The sequence below is a fragment of the Homo sapiens genome, chromosome 7 (assembly GCF_000001405.40).
Source record: "Homo sapiens chromosome 7, GRCh38.p14 Primary Assembly".
Classification (NCBI taxonomy): domain Eukaryota; kingdom Metazoa; phylum Chordata; class Mammalia; order Primates; family Hominidae; genus Homo; species Homo sapiens.
In genome coordinates this window covers 99,143,395-99,160,129 of record NC_000007.14, presented here as the reverse complement: position 1 = coordinate 99,160,129, position 16,735 = coordinate 99,143,395, and the positions used below count along the sequence as shown (strand labels likewise).

Below are 16,735 nucleotides of genomic sequence, written 5' to 3'. Positions count from 1 at the left end.
TGACGTGAACCTGGGAGGCGGAGCTTGCAGTGAGCCAGGATCGTACCACTGCACTCCAACCTGGGCAACAGAGCGAGACACTGTCTCAAAAAAAAAAAAAAAAAAAAAAAAACAAAAACAACAGAGGAGAAACACTAAGCTACACTTCAGAAAAGCAAGCAGCAGACTCCAGACCATGAGAAATCCTGCAGACAAGCTACTTCTTTCCTTCTCTTAATAAATTCCAACTAAAAAATTGCTTGGGGGGAACTTATAAATTTAGACTTAAATGACGTATTGACTAACCAGAGTGGGCCTCATTTGTATTCTGATACCACCAAACAATTGAGAAAATAAAACACATATGACATTTATGAGACAATTGGAAACTTGAGCATTGAATGGAGGTTTGATGATAAAGAATGATTGGCTGTTTTGGTTTAATCATCATATTGGGGCTATGTTAATTAGAAATAAAGTCCTTTTAGAGAAATCGGAATGATCATAGATGAAGTGATGTGATGTTTGGAATTTGTTTCAAAGTAATACGGGAAGAGGGAAGTGACAGATACACACATGGGGTGGAATTGGCAATGTGATCATGGTTACCAGGGCTGGTGATAGGTCCATGGGGAGTTCTGTTCTATTCTTTCTGTGGGTGGTTGAAGTTCTCCATAATGTAAAGTTGGAAAGACAAAAAGCTGTTACATCCCCCTATTCCATGAAGCTGACCAACTGCCCCCTGCCCCACCTGGCAGCGAACTGGAAGTTTATTCCTTTTTTTTTTTTTTTTTTTTTTTTTGAGACAGTGTCTCCCTGTGTCACCCAGGCTGGAGTGAAGTAGCACTATCATAGCTCAGTACAGCCTTGAACTCCTGGGGCTCAAGGAATCCTTCCACCTCAGCCTCCCAAGTAGCTGGGACTACAGGCATGCACTACCATGCCTGGCTAATGACATTGCTTTTATGAAGCAAAACATAGGATGTTGTCGGGCATGGTGGCTCACGCATGTAATCCCAGTGCTTTGGGAGCCTGAGGCGGGCAGATCACCTAAGGTCAGGAGTTCAAGACCAGCCTGACCAACATGGTGAAACCCCGTCTCTACTAAAAATACACAAGTTAGCCGGGCGTCGTGGTGTGCACCTGTAGTCCCAACTACTCGGGAGGCTGAGACAGGAAAATCGCTTGAACCCAGGAGGCGGAGGTTGCAGTAAGCCAAGATTGTACCGCTACACTCCAGTCTGGGTGACAGAGCTAGACTCCCTCTCAAAAGAAAAAAAAAAGATGCTGTTTATGTACATTCCAAGAACAAAAAGGATTATTGGAAATTAGAAATGATAGTAGAACTGGGCTGAGTGTGGTAGCTCACACCTGTAATCCCAGCACTTTGGGAGGCCGAGTTGGGGATCACTTGAAGTCAGGAGTTCGAGACAAGCCTGGCCAACTTGGTGAAGCCCTGTCTTTACTAAAAATACAAAAATTAGCTGGGCATGGTGGTGCACACCTACAGTCCCAGCTACTCAGGAGGGTGAGGCATGAGAATCGCTTGAACTCAGGAGGTGCAGGTTACAGTGAGCCGAGATCGTGCCACTGCACTCCAGCCTGGGCGACAGAGTGAGACTCCATCTAAAATAATAATAATAATAAAAAGATAGTACAAATGAAAACAGAATTGGAAGATGAAATTGAGGATATTTCCCATAAAGTAGAGCAAAATTGCAAAAATAGAAAAGATCAAATTATATAAAGTCCAGAACTGGAGGTCTGAAATCTGAATAGAGGAGTTCTAGAAGTGGAGAAAAAAAACATAGAGGAAAGAAAATTATCAGATAATACCATTTCCCCAAACAGAAGAAAACTGATCCAGTTTAAAGGATCCAGTGAATAGCCCAGAAAAATGGATGAAAGCTGATTTATGCCAAAGCATATCATTGTGAAAATTTAAAACTGATTAAAAAAAAGATCCAGTTGGGTGTGGTGGCTCATTCCTGTAATCCCAGCACTTTGGGAGGCTGAGGTGGGAGGATCGCTTGAGGCCAGGAGTACCAGACCAGCGTGGGCAACATAAGGAGACTCATCTCTATAAAAGTAAAAAATTAGCCAAATGTGGTGGCATGTACCTGTAGTCCCAGCTACTCAGGAGGCCAGGAGTTCAAGACCAGTGTGGGCAACATAAGGAGACCCATCTCTACAAAAAATCAAAAAAAAATTAGCCAGGTGTGGTAGCACCTGCCTGTAGTCTCAGCTACTCAGGAGGCTGAGGTGGGAGGATTGCTTAAGTCCAGGAGGTCGAGGCTGCAGTGAGCTGTGATCACACCACTGCACTCCAGCCTGGGTGACAGTGAGACCCTGTATCAAAAAACAAAAGTTACATCTAGAGTGTAAAAAGAAGTCATATATGAAAGATCAAGAATCACAATGGCTTGCGTTCTTACCTGACAAGAAATTTTAGAATCACATCCATAGGGCATTCAGTTAGCTAATCTATTCATAGGGGAAATCTAACAGGAATACACAGATGTATAGAAGAAATCTAACAGGAATACACAGATGTATAGAAGAAATCTAAATGAGTTGTCCTGAAAAATCAACCTGGGCTCCCATTCTCAAATACAAAAGATCAGACACAAGAAGAAAATCGGGGCTGGGCGCAGTGGCTCATGCCTGTAATCCCAACACTTTGAGAGGCCAAGGCAGGTGGATCACCTGAGGTTGGGAGTTCAAGACCAGCCTGACTAACATGGAGAAACCCTGTTTCTACTAAAAATACAAAATTAGCCGGGTGTGGTGGCGCATGCCTGTAATCTCAGCTACTCAGGAGACTGAGGCAGGAGAATCGCTTGAACCTGGGAGGTGGAGGTTGCAGTCAGCCAAGATTGAGCCATTGCACTCCAGCCTGGGCAACAAGAGCAAAACTCTGTCAAGAAAATTGGCATCATGGAAAAGAAAAAGGCAAATGAACAAAACAACCATTTCCCAGAAGAAACAGTCAGAATCGGGGGGAATTAAAACCAACATCCTCTAATTTATATTCTCAACAGATTTGAGAAGATTCTGTGGCCATAAAACAAAAAGATGCCATGAAAAAGGAACACTCTCAGAAATTAAATGATTACCAGAACAAAAATTCAAGAGAAAGGTTTGAAGATAAATCTTTCAGAATATAGACCAGAAAGTTACAAAGAGATGAAAGTTTGGGGAGAAGAAAAAAAGTCAATTCAGGAGGCTTACCATCTGAGTAACTGAAGTTCTAGAAAAAGACAAAAGAGAAAATATAGGGAAAGACATTAACAAAGAAACCCTAGAAGAAAATTTATCAGAATTGAGGCCAGGCATGTTGGCTCATGCCTGTAATCCCAGCACTGTGGGAGGCCAAGGGGGGTGGATCATTTGAAGTCAGGAGTTTGAGACCAGCTTGGCCAACATGAGGAAACCCTGTCTCTATTAAAAATACAAAAATTTTCTGGGTGTGGTGGTGGGCACCTATAATCCCAGCTACTTTGGAGGCTGAGGCAGGAGAATCACTTGAACCTGGGAGGCGGAGGTTGCAGTGAGCTAAAATTGTGCCATTGCATTCCAGCCTGGGTGACAAGGGCAAAACTCTGTCTCAAACAAAAAAAAAGTATCAGAATTGAAGAAAGTAAATCTCTAGGCTGAAAGGGTTCATTGAATGCCAAGCAGAATAAATAAATAAAAGATCAATCCCTGGATTCAATGCGGTGAAATTTCAGAATACCAAGAATAAACAGAAGACTCTTTCCAGAAACAAAAAATAGATTACCTATAAAAGAATGAGAATCAGACTGGCATCAGATTTCTCTTTGTGGACTCTGAATGATAGAAAAATTCCAAGTTCTGAGGGAAAATTATAACCATAAATTTAGAATCATAAATTATTTAGAACCACATAGCCATATAAGACATCATATTTTCAGATATAAACTCAGAAAGATTACATTTCAAGTACTAAGGAAGTTACTTGAGAATGTACTCCATCAAGAAAGGAAGTAAATTATATACCCCACCTCCCAAAAAGAGAAATATACAAGAAATGATGAAACCAACCCAGAAGTCCACTGAAAAACAATCCCGAGATGAGAATTGAACAGCAAACCTGGAAGCCTGTTTTTTCCATATTAGAACAGACAGGCAGCGAGCTCCAGGTAGACTATCTTCAACAAGAAGAATGAAGTTGATTCGTTCTTGTTGGAAGGATGAAATTGATTCCAAGTAGTAGACAGAATGGCTAAGATGCCAGATGATACTAATGACAAAACATAAATCTGAGCTGGGCACAGTAACTCATGTCTGTAATCCCAGCACTTTGGGAGGCCAAGACAGGCAGACTGCTGGAGCCCAGGAGGTTGAGACCAGCCTGGGCAATATGATGAAAACCCATCTCTATAAAAAATACAAAAAAAAAAAAAATTAGTGTGGTGGCATGCACTGTTAGTTCCAGCTACTCAGGAGGCTGAGGTGGGAGGATCATTTGAGCCCAGGAATTTGAGGCTGCAGTGAGCTGTGATCATGCCACTGCACTCCAGCCTGGGCAACAGAGCGAGATCCTATCTCAAAACCAAGAACAACCCCATAAATCTGTTTCTTCCATCAGTAAAAGGAAGATAAGGCAATGAGGAAACAAGAAAAAAAAATGTGTAAGAAAACTCCAGGTCCAAACATAGCCAACTGAAATGTGGTGTGATTTTGACCTTGATTCTGAAACAATCCATTTATAGAATCAACAGACAAAACAGGGAAGTCAGCAATGCACACAAAAGAGAATGTGACCATTGTCATCCTTGATATTGTCAGTGTTCAGCTGAGAAGGATGAAGGTGGGAGTATAGACTGGAACAGATGGTTCAGTGCCAATATCTTTGTCTAACATGGAGGGGATCATAAGCTACAAGCTGATAGGAAACACAGGTTCAAAAAAATATTTAAAAGTAGAAATAGAAGAACTGAAAATAGTAACTATAAAAATGGAGGCAGGAAGAGGGAAGTGTTAGTCACCTAACTCCTCATCTTTCATAAATGAAGAGCCAACAGATAATGTCCTAAATTGGTGAATCAATAAATATATGTGCATATGTCTATACATATATATAATATACACATATATATAAACTTTTATAAAAAGTATATATGTGTTAGTATAGGTATAGAAAATAATTCTGGAAGCATGTTCACCAAACTGCTGACTTCTGACTAGGAGATAGAATTGAGGGGGTGTGTCAATTTTGTCATTGGTAGCTTTTTAGTGATTTAAAATTTAGGAAAACCTCAAATACATTAAAACTGTGTAATTTCATGGTGTATATTACATGAACATAGATTCAAGACTCACGCCTGTAATCCCAGCACTTTCAGAGGTTGAGGTGGGCGGTTCATGAGGTCAGGAGATCGAGACCAGCTTGGACAACATGGTAAAACCCTGTCTACTAAAAATACGAAAAAAAAAATTAGCCGGGCGTGGTGGCACTCATCTGTAATCCCAGCTACTCAGGAGGCTGAGGCAGGAGAATCGCTTGGAGGTGGAGGTCACAGTGAGCCGAGATTGTGCCATTGCACTCCAGCCTGGGCGACAGAGCGAGACTCCGTCTTGAGAAAAAAAAAAAAAAGACCTAAGTTTCTGAAGCATAACTACATACAGTGAAAGTCTGATAAATGACCTGAAATTCTGATAAATGACCTGGGAGTTACCTGTAATAAAAAAGCATTTTTGCCAGGTGTGGTGGCTTACACATGTAATCCCAGCACTTTGGGAGGCCAAGGTGGGCGGATTGCTTGAGGTCAAGAGTTCAAGACCAGCCTGGTCAACATGGTGAAACCCCATCTCTACTAAAAATACATAAATTAGCCAGGTGTGGTGGCGGGCACCTGTAGTCCTAGCTACTCGGGAGGCTGAGGCATGAGAATCACTTTAACCCAGAAGGCAGAGGTTGCAGTGAGCTGAGATCATGCCACTGCACTCCAGCCTGGGTGACAGAGACTCTGTCTCAAAAAAAAAAAAAAAAGTGTGTGAGCTATTCTCATTTTGGTGAATCATTAATGGGAAAAATATTCTGTATCCCTGATTTACTTGTCTTTCAGAAGTGTGATTATTTAGAAAACATTTAAAGTGTTTTTTGGGAGGGGGAGGGGATCATAACAATTATTAAAAATTATGGAAACTTTTTTTTCTTTTTTTTAGAGACTCTCTGTCACCCAGGCTGAAGTGCAGTAGTGTGATATGATCACACTTGATCTCCTGGGCTCAAATGATCCTCCCACCTCAGCCTCCCAAATAGCAGGGACTACAGGCACGAGCCACCACACCTGGCTGATTTTTATTTTTATTTTTTTTGTAGAGATGAGGTCTTGCTATGGTGCCCAGGCTGGTCTTGAATTCCTGGGCTCAAGCAGTCCTTTCACCTTGGCCCCATAAAGTGCTGGGATTACAGGCATGAGCCACTGCACCCATCTGGAACCTTTATTATTTATAAAGTTCTGGTCACTATCTATGCATTCCATTCAGTAAATATACGAAGGAAACCAAAGTCTGTTTTTGGACACTTGCAGGTTTGCTCAAAGATCAAGAACGATCTTTTTTTTTTTTTTTTGAGACAGTGTCTCGCTCTGTCACCTGGGCTGGAGTGCAATGGTACAATCTTGGCTCACTGCAACCTCTGCCTCCTGGGTTCAAGTGATTCTCCTGCCTCAGCCTCCTGAGTAGCTGGGATTACAGGCACATGCCTGACTAATTTTTTGTATCTTTGTAGAGATGGGGTTTCGCCATGTTGGCCAGGCTGGTCTTGAACTCCTGATCTCAGGTGATCTGTCCGCCTCGGCCTCTTAAAGTGTTGGGATTACAGGCATGAGCCACTGTGTCCAGCCCCAAATACCATATTCTAAGCAACGGTAGGTTTATATCTTTTTAAAGTCATTCACTGTTGGTACCAACCCCCACTCACTTCCTTTCTCCTCCCACTTACATAAAAATTATTCTGCAAAGGATTGCATTTAAGGAGCAGAAACTCCTTCGGGGAAAGATGTGTTAGTCCAACAGATTCCATGAAACATCCTACAATCCTCACCCCGTTTGCGAGGTAAGCATTCTCCTAAGACCAGCCCGTTATTATAAAAATATTCCATTCCGATGCATGGTGGCTTGTCACAATTAACATTTAAACCTTAATTTTTGTCAATGAATTGAGAATTCAACCATAATCTATAAATTCAACTAAAGTAAGTACAGTCTTTCTTTAGTGAAAAATAAAACTGTTTTCCCATTTGATTCTGAGGACTCTCACTTATTAAAGAGAGGCACGGCAGCCCTCATCCTGCACTCAGAGAAGACATCACAGGCCTTGCTCTCTGAGCAGATTGCGATGTCTAAAATGATTATACCTCTAATTGACAACCCGAGATGAAAACTCACAGCAGAAATACATGCGGCTTGTAGAGACAGAACTGCTCAAGCCTTTTAAATAGCAAAGGTTGGGGCTGCCTTACAAGAAATAAAGTTACCAAAGATACGTCCCAAGTATATTTAAATTGGTAAGGTTCCTGAATTAACCACTGTTAATTTTTAAATCTCTTTAGAAACTGTCTAGATAAGCAGCAAAAACACCAAACATGAAGTTACTTTCCGCATATCATCCTGGTGAACCCGCCAAACACTTCCCTTTGTATGCCCATATCCAAGGCATATTGATGTCCACAGAGAAAGGGATGGTTCAGTTGGACCCTTCTGCCTCATTTTTACTTTTTTTTTTCTTTTTCTTTCCTTTTTTTCTTTTTCTTTTTTTTTTTGAGACGGAGTCTCTCTCGCTCTGTCGGGAGTGCAGTGGCACAATCTTGTCTCACGGCAACTTCTGCCTCTGGGGTTCAAGCAATTCTCCTGCCTCAGCCTCCCGTGTAACTGGGATTATAGGCACCTGCCACCACGCCTGGCTAATTTTTGTTGTTGTTGTTGTTTGTTTTTCTGAGACAGAATCTCGCTCTGTCGCCCAGGCTGGGGTGCAGTGGTGTGATCTCGGCTCACTACAACCTCTGCCTCCTGGGTTCAAGTGATATTCCTGCCTCAGCTTCCCGAGTAGCTGGGACTACAGGCGTGTGCCACCATGCCCGGCTAATTTTTTGTATTTTTAGTAGAGATGGGCTTTCACCGTGTTAGCCAGGATGATCTCAATCTCCTGACCTCTAGATCTGCCTGCCTCGGCCTCCCAAAGTGCTGGGATTACAGGCGTGAGCCACCGTGCCCAGCCTATACATTGTTTTAATGATGCATTTATGTGATGGGCTCCATGACTAGAAGTGAACCACAAAATACAGGGACTATATCTTGTTGATCTTTTAAAATTCCTTGCATGTTACCACATTGCCTGATACATAGGAGGTTCTTAATGTTTGTGGCCAGGTGCAGTGGCTCACACCTATAATCCCAGCACTTTGGGAGGCTGAGGCAGGAGGACTGCTTGAGCCCATGGGTTTGAGACCAGCCTGGGCAACATAGGGAGAACCTGTCTCTAGAAAAAAAAATTTTTTTTTTTAATTAGCCAGGCATGATGGTGCACACCTGTGATCTCAGGATTGGGAGCCTGAGGCTGGAGGATCAGTCAAGCCCAGGAAGTGGAGACTGCAGTGAGCTATGATCGCACCACTGCACTCTAGCCTGGGCAACAGGGAAAGACCCTGTCTCAAAAAAAAAACCAAAAACAAACAAACAAAACAGTTTGCTTACTATTCTACAGTACAAAGAGAGGAACAATGAATTAATATTACTAATAGTTGCATACAAATAACAAAATTGTGCTTTCTAGAATATGGTTCCTGGGAAGAAAAAAATCAAAATCTTAAAGCCATTCTATGGACTAAGTCCTAGGTAGGACTAGGTTCAGAGAAGTCCTAGGCAGATAGAGGATTGATGCAGGCTAAACAGACAGACACACAGACGGTGTTGGCTATCAGCACGATGCAGGCACCAGAAAAAAAGGGCAGGAACCTGGATTGGAGATCTCTCTCCTTGAAAAACCTTCGTCATGTTCACTAAGCAGGAATAGTAACTAATAATTACCTAGCATCCCTCCCTCACACAAACCGGATGCCGTTAAACCTCAAATTAATTTAATTTGTTTCTGTGAACGTATTTAAGTAATGAGGTACAGCTCCCCACCCCTTTCTTGGTAGTAGGGGAATCTTTGTCACATTGAACCACATACTTGGTTTTATTTTTGCACAATCAAAGTAAGATTAGAGCCTCGCCAGGACTCAGCAGAAGGATGAGTTTGATTTAAATACTCTGCAGATGCATAGGGCAATGATTTGGTTACGGGTTCTGCACAACTGTACGACTAGAGAATTGGGTCACCTCCTTGCCAGCAGGAACTATGGTGAATATTTGCAAGAGCTGGGCACTCAAATCCCATTCTTCTTGATGAGTACAAGAATGTCTGGCTGGGCGCGATGGCTCATGCCTGTAATCCCAGCAGTTTGGGAGGCTGAGGCTGGCGGATCACTTGAGGTCAGGAGTTCGAGACCAGCCTGGCTAACATGGAGAAAACCCATCTCTACTAAAAAATACAAAAATTAGCCAGGCGTAGTGGTGCATGCCTATATTCCCAACTACTCGGGAGGCTGAGGCAGGAGAATCGCTTGAACCCAGGAGGCGGAGATTGTGGTGAGCTGAGATCGCGCCATTGCACTCCAGCCTGGGCAACAAGAGTGAAACTCCGTCTCAAAAAAAAGAGAAGAATGATTCATGAAGTTTCCAGTTTGTTTAATGTCACTGCGCCTGTAATCCCAGCACTTTAGGGGGCGGCCCAGGTGGGGAGATCACTTGAGGTCAAGAGTTCAAGACCAGTCTGGCCAACATAGTGAAACCCTGTCTCTACTAAAAATATAAAAATTAGCCAGGTTTGGTGGCATGCGCCTGTAATCTCAGCTACTCAGGAGGCTGAGGTGGGAGGATTGCTTGAGCTGAGGAGATCAAGGCTTCCCTGAACTATGATTGCACCACTGCACCCCAGCCTGGGCAACAGAACAAGACCCTGTCTCAAAAACAGAAACAAAGGCCTGGTGCGGTGGCTCATGCCTGTAATCCCAGCACTTTGGGAGGCTGAGGCAGGTGGATCATATGAAGTCAGGAGTTCGAGACCAGCCTGGCCAACATGGTGAAACCCTGTCTCTACTAAAAATACAAAAATTAGCCGGGCATGGTGGCACGTGCCTGCAGTCTGTCTGAGCTACTCGGGAGGCTGAGGCAGGAGAATCGCTTGAACCCAGGAGGCGGAGGTTGCAGGTTGCACGTGAGCCGAGATCGTGCTGCTATACTCCAGCCTGGGTGTCAGAGCAAGACTCCATCTGGAAAACAACAACAACAACAAAAAACAACTTGATGCTCAGATGAAAAGCAAAAGAAGCCTAGATCCTAGACAGAGAAGATTTTAAAGGTTAATATGATCTGGCCACTGGCCTCAGAGGCACCAGCTCAGGAACAGAAATGTGCTCTCAAGAGGCATTCACTATAACTGTCCACTCCCACCAGGGACCCTCTGCACAAAATCCCAGATTTTCTCAGGATAAGAAGCTTCACTAGGAGCTTTTGGAGCCAAGGCAATCACACACATACTAATAAGAACTGCCATTTACCAAGAGCTTGCTGTATTGGAATGCTAAATCTACATTCATGATTTAAGCCTCACCAATAACTTTCAGGGAGAAGTATTATTTCCATTTTACAGATAAGCAAAGCAAGGCTTGGAGAATTTTAGTATCTTGCTTCAGCACCGGCTGGTGATATGGTGGAGGCTGGATAGAGTGTGGGCCTCCGTGGGTCATAGTCTTCCTCTTTTCAGCACACCTGCTACCTTTCAAAAGGGTTGTTATTGTCCTGGATCCTGAACACATACATGCAGGATATGCTCGACATCATTTGCTTGATAATTTCCTTTAGAAAAAATTATTGGGGCCAGGCATGGTGGTTCATGCCTGAAATCACAGCACTTTGGGAGGCAGAGGCAGGCGGATCACTTGAGGTCAGGAGTTCGAGACCAGTCTGGCCAACATGGTGAAATATCATCTCCACTAACTACTAAAAATACAAAACTTAGCTGGGTGTGATGTGGCACGCTTGTAATCCCAGCTACTCGGAAGGCTGAGGCAGGAGAATCGCTTGAATCTGGGAGGTGGAAGTTGCTGTGAGCCGAGACGGTGCCGTTGTACTCCAGCCTGGGCGACACTGCAAGACTCCGTCTCAAAAAAAAAAAAAAAAAACGGTTCTTGGGCTGAGTGCGGTGGCTCATGCCTGTAATCTTAGCCCTTTTGGGAGGCTAAAGCAGGAGGACCACTTGAGGCGACTAGCCTGGCCGACAGAGTGAGACCCTGTGTGTATAAAAAATAAAAAAATTTAGCCAGGTATGTTTGGTGGCACATGCCTGTAGTCCCAGGTACTTGGGAGACTGAGGTGGGAGGATTGCTTGAGCCCAGGAGTTCGAGGCTGAAGTCAGCCATGATGATGGCACTGCCTTCCAGCCTGGGTGACAGAGTGAGACCCTCTCTTTTAAAGAATAAATAAGGAGTTATTAATCTAGGGACTACAGGCCCTTACAGGATTCATAAATTGGTTTCAGGTGATCATAAACCCACTGAAATCAGAGGCAAATTTTGATGTGTATTTGCACATATGAATTTTTCTGGAGGAAGGAGTCCAGAGTTTCCATCAGATTGTCAAAGAGGTTTGGGACTCAGAAACTGGTTAAGAACTACTGCAGTCAGATCCAAAGACAGATTTGCCCACTGGAAAATATTTCAAATGCCCAATAACACTGACTCAGGGAACTGATACATTTCTGGGAAATAAAAGCAGTCAAATGCTACCTAGAAAGCAGGGTCAAAACTGCTCTGTGTAAAGCCATTGCAAAGAGGACACTTGAGGAGGCTCACCGAGTTCCATCTCTGTTTCAGCAGAATTGTTTGACATTTTGCATCTGTTTGTTCCAGATAGCTTTAGAAGATTGTATTTTCGAGGAATGTGATACATGATGAAAGGAAGGGAAGATGATATATCTTAAGTTCAATATGATAGCGTCTGATGATTTTTAAGTGGGCAAATGCTTTTTGTTATTTTTAATCAACTTTTTTTTTTTTTTTAAAGACATGGGGTCTCATTCTGTGATCTAGACTGGAATGCAGTGGCACAATCATAGCTCACTGCAGCCTTGCGCTACTGGGCTCAAGCCATCCTCCCACCTTGGCCTCCTGAGTAGCTGGGACTACAGACATGCACCACCTCACCCAGATAATTTTTAAATTTTTTGTAGAGATGGGGGTCTCGTTATGTTGCCCAGGCTTTTATCAAAAAAAAAAATTTTTTTTTTTGAGATAGAGTCTTGCTCTTATCGCCCAGGCTGGAGGGCAGCAGTGCAATCTCAGCTCACTGCAACCTCCGCCTCCCGGGTTCAAGAGATTCTCCTGCCTCAGCCTCCCGAGTAGCTGGGATTACAGGCGCCTGCCACTACACCCAGGTTATTTTTGTATTTTTAGTAGAGATGGGGTTTCACCATGTTGGCCAGGATGGTCTCAAACTCCTGACCTCAGGTGATCCACCCGCCTTGGTCTCCCAAAATGCTGGGATTACAGGCGTGAGCCACTGTGCCCGGACTTTTATCAACTTTTAATGGAGTAAGTTGTATGGATAGAGTATACAAGCAGCTCCATAAGTACATTTTTATTGAAAATGGTGCTGGAAAATGCCATTCACGTTCATGCCTTTGTGCAGCTGTTCCTTCTATCTATAATGCCCTTCCTCACCACTTTGCCCAGCAAACTTGAACGTTGGCTTTAAGCTCTAGATTAAGATCATCTGTGACTCGAGATGTCTCCATTTCTCTTCTTATGTAGAATTGTTCTGTCATCTATGTTCTAGCCTGCTATACACATCCCCATCACTGTATCATTGTCAGTTGCTCATGTCTGTTTCATCCAGTTAACTGACCCTCTGGAATGCTGAAGCTGTAATAGATTTATTTTGTATTCCTTGTTCCTAGCCACATAGCAGGTGGCCAATGTTTGCCGAATGAGTAAAACATGAGCTTCCAGGTAGGAAGGTCCCCTTTGTGCAGCTGTGGTGAAAGATACTATTGGGTATATCTAGCAATTTCAAATGGTCCCAGTTTATGACGGTTTGACTTACGATTTTTTGATGTTATGGTAGGAAAGCGACACACATTCAGTAGAAACCACACTTCAAATTTCGAATTTTGATTCAAAATTCTTTATAATAACTTTATCGTAAAATAGGCTTTGTGTTAGATGATTTTGCCCCACCGTATGGTAATGAAAGTGTTCTGTGCACATTTAAGGTAGGCTGGGCTAAGCTATAATGGCTGGTAGCTTAGGTGTAGTAAATGCATTTTCCGTTGTTTTTTTTTTTTTTTTTTTTTTTTTTTTTTTTTTTTTAAGACACAGTCTCGCTCTATTGCCCAGGCTGAAGTGCAGTGGCACAATCTCGCCTCACTGCAACCTCTGCCTCCCGAGTTTAAGTGATTTTTGTGCCTCAGCCTCCCGAGTAGCTGGGACTACAGGTGCACACCACCACACCCAGTTAACTTTTGTATTTTTAGTTGACAGGGTTTCACCATGTTAGCCAGGCTGGTCTCGAACTCCTGCTCGCAGGTAATCCCCCCACCTCAGCCTCCTAAAGTGCTGGGATTACAGGCATGAACCACCATGCCCGGCCTCCGCAAATGCATTTTTGACATATTTTCAACATATTATGGGTTTATCAGAATGTAACCCCATTGTACATCAAGGAGCATCTGTACTTGTTAATGAATGAACAAAATGCCTTTCAGAAACCTCCAGAAGCAACCTCCTGACTCAAAGATTAAGGAAACAGTCAAGCCAACGAAGAACCAGCCGTCGGGGCGGGGAGAAAAACAACAAAATTAAGCAATGAAAGGTTTCCAGGTCAGGAACACCTGGGGATAAGAACAGGAGCCTGCACCCAGGTAAGCAGAGAGTGATGTCTGGTTTTGTTTAGAGAGGAGACTCTTTGAATAGGGGGGAAATACTAACGGGATTGGCAGAAGAATGGGGATTACTTGGGAGCATTAGAGACTGGATGGATTAATTCAGACCCAGGCATTCACTCTCTGTGACAATCATCTACAAATGGAAACAGCTGGATTGTGGCTCTACTGCTATTGCTTAAACATTGCTTATATTCTTGGGTCTTTCTTGAGGATAACTGAAAGAGCCGCAAGGTGCCATAGAAATGACCTAGGACCATCCTTTTATTTGACAGATGTGATGCCTTGAATCCTGCCCAGGAGAGACTCTGCTTTCACTAGGGTCATCCGAGGCAGGCAGGCAGGCAGGCAGGCGGGCAGGCAGGCAGGTATGTCTAGGCGCTCTAGGTAGAAGGCTCTGTTCCGAAGACTGTGACCTTAGGACAGGCACAAGGCTGCAGGGGATGGTAGCAATGGCCCAGAGCCTACTTTCCTTGGGACACACACACACACACACACACACACAGTATTAAAAGAATTTGTTCAAGTTGATTGATGAAGAATCAAATAAAAATAAAAAAGAACTTGTACATGAAAATGGGTAGTGGGGTCTGGGAGCGGTGGCTTAGGCCTGAAATCCCAGCACTTTGGGAGGCTGAAGCGGGCAGATCACCTGAGCTCAGAAGTTTGAGACCAGCCTGGCCAAAACAGCGAAACCCCATCTCTACCAAAAATACAAAAATTAGCTGGGTGTGGTGGCTAACGCCTGTAATCCCAGCTATACAGGAGGCTGAGACACGAGAATCACTTGAACCTGGGAGGTGGAGGTTGCAGTGAGCCAAGACCGTGCCACTGCACTCCAGCCTGGGTGACAGAGTGAGACCCTGTCTCAAAAAACAACAACAACAACAACAAGGTAGTGGGTAAAAAACAAGTTTGATAAACCTAGTTTTCCCTCTTTCTAATAATACCAGTTTATTTCTATAACATGCTAACAGAGAGGAGTTTGTTTGCTGGAGAAAGCGCATAATGAGCTTTTTCTGTGTGTGTGTGTGTGTGTGTGTGTGTGTGTTTTGAGACAGTGTCTAGCTCTGTCACCCAGGCTGTAGTGCAGTGGCCTGATCATAGCTCACTGCAGCCATGAACTCTGGGGCTCAAGTGATCCTCCCACCTCAGCCTCCCAGTACCTGGGACTACAGGCGCGCACCACCATGCCCAGCTAATTTTTGTATTTTTTGTAGAGATGGAGTCTCCCTATGTTGCCCAGGCTGGCCTCAAAGTCCTGGGCTCAAGTGATCCGCCCGCCTCGGCCTCCCAAAGTGCTGGGATTACAGGCTACAGCCACCGTACCCAGCCATGAGCTTTTGGTTCTAACCTGCAACCCCGGGAGAAGGGGAAATTTAGCAGAAGACATGGGAACACAAACCACAATGCCACTTTCTTGTTTGGTAAAATTGTATGCAGAATGGATAATAACAAACATCCGCCTCTCAACTTTATCCCTCCCTCTCATCTCGTTTTCCTTGTCCGTATATGGCACTTCTGCGATTCTGGCAACTTTGTTATGGGTCAGTGGAGCACACCCGTTGCACAGAACACACCTAAGGGCTTTGTCTCTTTGAGAAGTCCCTCCCTTGAACTTGCACGATCGAAAGCTCTTAACTGAAAAAAACTGGTATTGCACGCCTGTGTGCAAGGAGCTTGGTGTGGACACAGCCCACGGTTTCATGCAAACCACTCTTCAGTCACTCAGGAGCCCAGAGCCTCGCAGAGACAGGGGTCAAGACAGAGGGCGACCGCGCGCTGGGTCCCGGGGCCAGCTCTGCTCTCCCTTCCCGGGCTCGGGGCCAGACCCTCCCACCCACCGACCACAGGAAGGGTGAAGACCCCAACCCGCGGGATCCGGGCCCCGCGCGCCCGAGGCAGGCGTGCGGGCGACGTAGCAGCGCACCCCGCCCCGCCCCAGCGTACGTGGCGGGGGCGCGCACGCACGCAGGCGCGGGGGCGCGCAGGGCCGGGCCGGCACGGCGGCGGGCGCGCGCGCGGCTCGGAGAGGCGGCGGCAGCGGCGGAAGCGGCGAGGGCGGCGGGCGTCCGGCTCTGAGGTGGTGGAGGCGGCGGAGGCGGCGGCGGAGGCGGCGGCGGCTCGGGACTGGGCTCGGCTGGAAGCAGCGAGGGTCAGAGCGCCGCAGCAAGCGCCGATCTCCCGGCTCGACCATCCGCCTGCCGCCCGGACGCCTGGGCCGCGGAGTTTGTGTCCCGGCTCGGACCCCGGCGCCCAGCCCGGAGCCGTAACCTTGAGGCGGCGGCGGCGGGGCCGGGCCGGGCCGGGCTGGGGGGCGGTGGCGCTGGATCCGCGGCTGCCCGATCGTTGGCGGGAGATGTCGAACCCCGGGACACGCAGGAACGGCTCCAGCATCAAGATCCGTCTGACAGGTACGGCCGGCGGGAGGCCCACCCGCGCCCCGGCGCCCCCTCGCCCGCCCCGGAATTCCCCGCAGGGCGCCCTTGGAAGCGGCCCTCCCCCACGCCGGCCGTTGTCCCAGGACCTCGTCACCCCCTTCGGCGTGCGCCCCTCGCTTCTCCCTCCTGGCCCCGCCCCCTCGCCGTTGCCCGGCCCCGCCCCCTGGCCGCTCGCGCCCCCTCGGTCTCGCGTTCCCTCCCGTTCCCCCGCACCTGCCCCCTCGCATCTCCGTCCTGGCCCCGCCCCTCTCATTTCCATTCATGGCCACGCCCCTTGCATCTCCTTCCCTGGCCCCGCCCCTCG

At 45.9% G+C, this 16,735-nt stretch overlaps 2 protein-coding genes across 7 annotated transcripts in view, besides 3 other annotated features; both read left to right on the top strand.

Annotated features, from left to right (window-relative positions):
* Positions 1-14,326, top strand: part of KPNA7 (karyopherin subunit alpha 7) — a 73,616-nt gene extending 59,290 nt beyond the window's left edge. Inside the window, exon 11 of the mRNA XM_017012211.2 lies at positions 13,814-14,326. Within this exon, the coding sequence (XP_016867700.1) occupies positions 13,814-13,837 (24 nt within the window). The 3' untranslated portion in view covers positions 13,838-14,326. The remainder of the gene's footprint in view (positions 1-13,813) is intronic.
* Positions 8,257-8,478: a silencer, noted in NCBI's record as "fragment chr7:98749275-98749496 (GRCh37/hg19 assembly coordinates)". NCBI's record gives its function as "represses an EF-1alpha promoter that drives an FKBP-Casp9 reporter gene in an ReSE screen in phorbol 12-myristate 13-acetate-treated (for megakaryocytic differentiation) K562 erythroleukemia cells {active_cell/tissue: K562(+PMA)}" and the evidence as "EXISTENCE:reporter gene assay evidence [ECO:0000049][PMID:32094911]".
* Positions 15,761-16,260: a silencer, noted in NCBI's record as "silent region_18402". NCBI's record gives its function as "represses an Ori minimal core promoter by ATAC-STARR-seq in GM12878 lymphoblastoid cells {active_cell/tissue: GM12878}" and the evidence as "EXISTENCE:reporter gene assay evidence [ECO:0000049][PMID:35858748]".
* The window catches only part of SMURF1 (SMAD specific E3 ubiquitin protein ligase 1), a 116,669-nt gene continuing 115,955 nt past the window's right edge, over positions 16,022-16,735 (top strand). For all 6 annotated transcript variants that reach the window (NM_001199847.2, NM_181349.3, XM_017012457.2 and 3 more), the window contains exon 1: positions 16,022-16,404. In NM_001199847.2, the coding sequence (NP_001186776.1) occupies positions 16,350-16,404 (55 nt within the window). In that variant the 5' untranslated portion in view covers positions 16,022-16,349. The remainder of the gene's footprint in view (positions 16,405-16,735) is intronic.
* Positions 16,401-16,730: a silencer, noted in NCBI's record as "silent region_18401". NCBI's record gives its function as "represses an Ori minimal core promoter by ATAC-STARR-seq in GM12878 lymphoblastoid cells {active_cell/tissue: GM12878}" and the evidence as "EXISTENCE:reporter gene assay evidence [ECO:0000049][PMID:35858748]".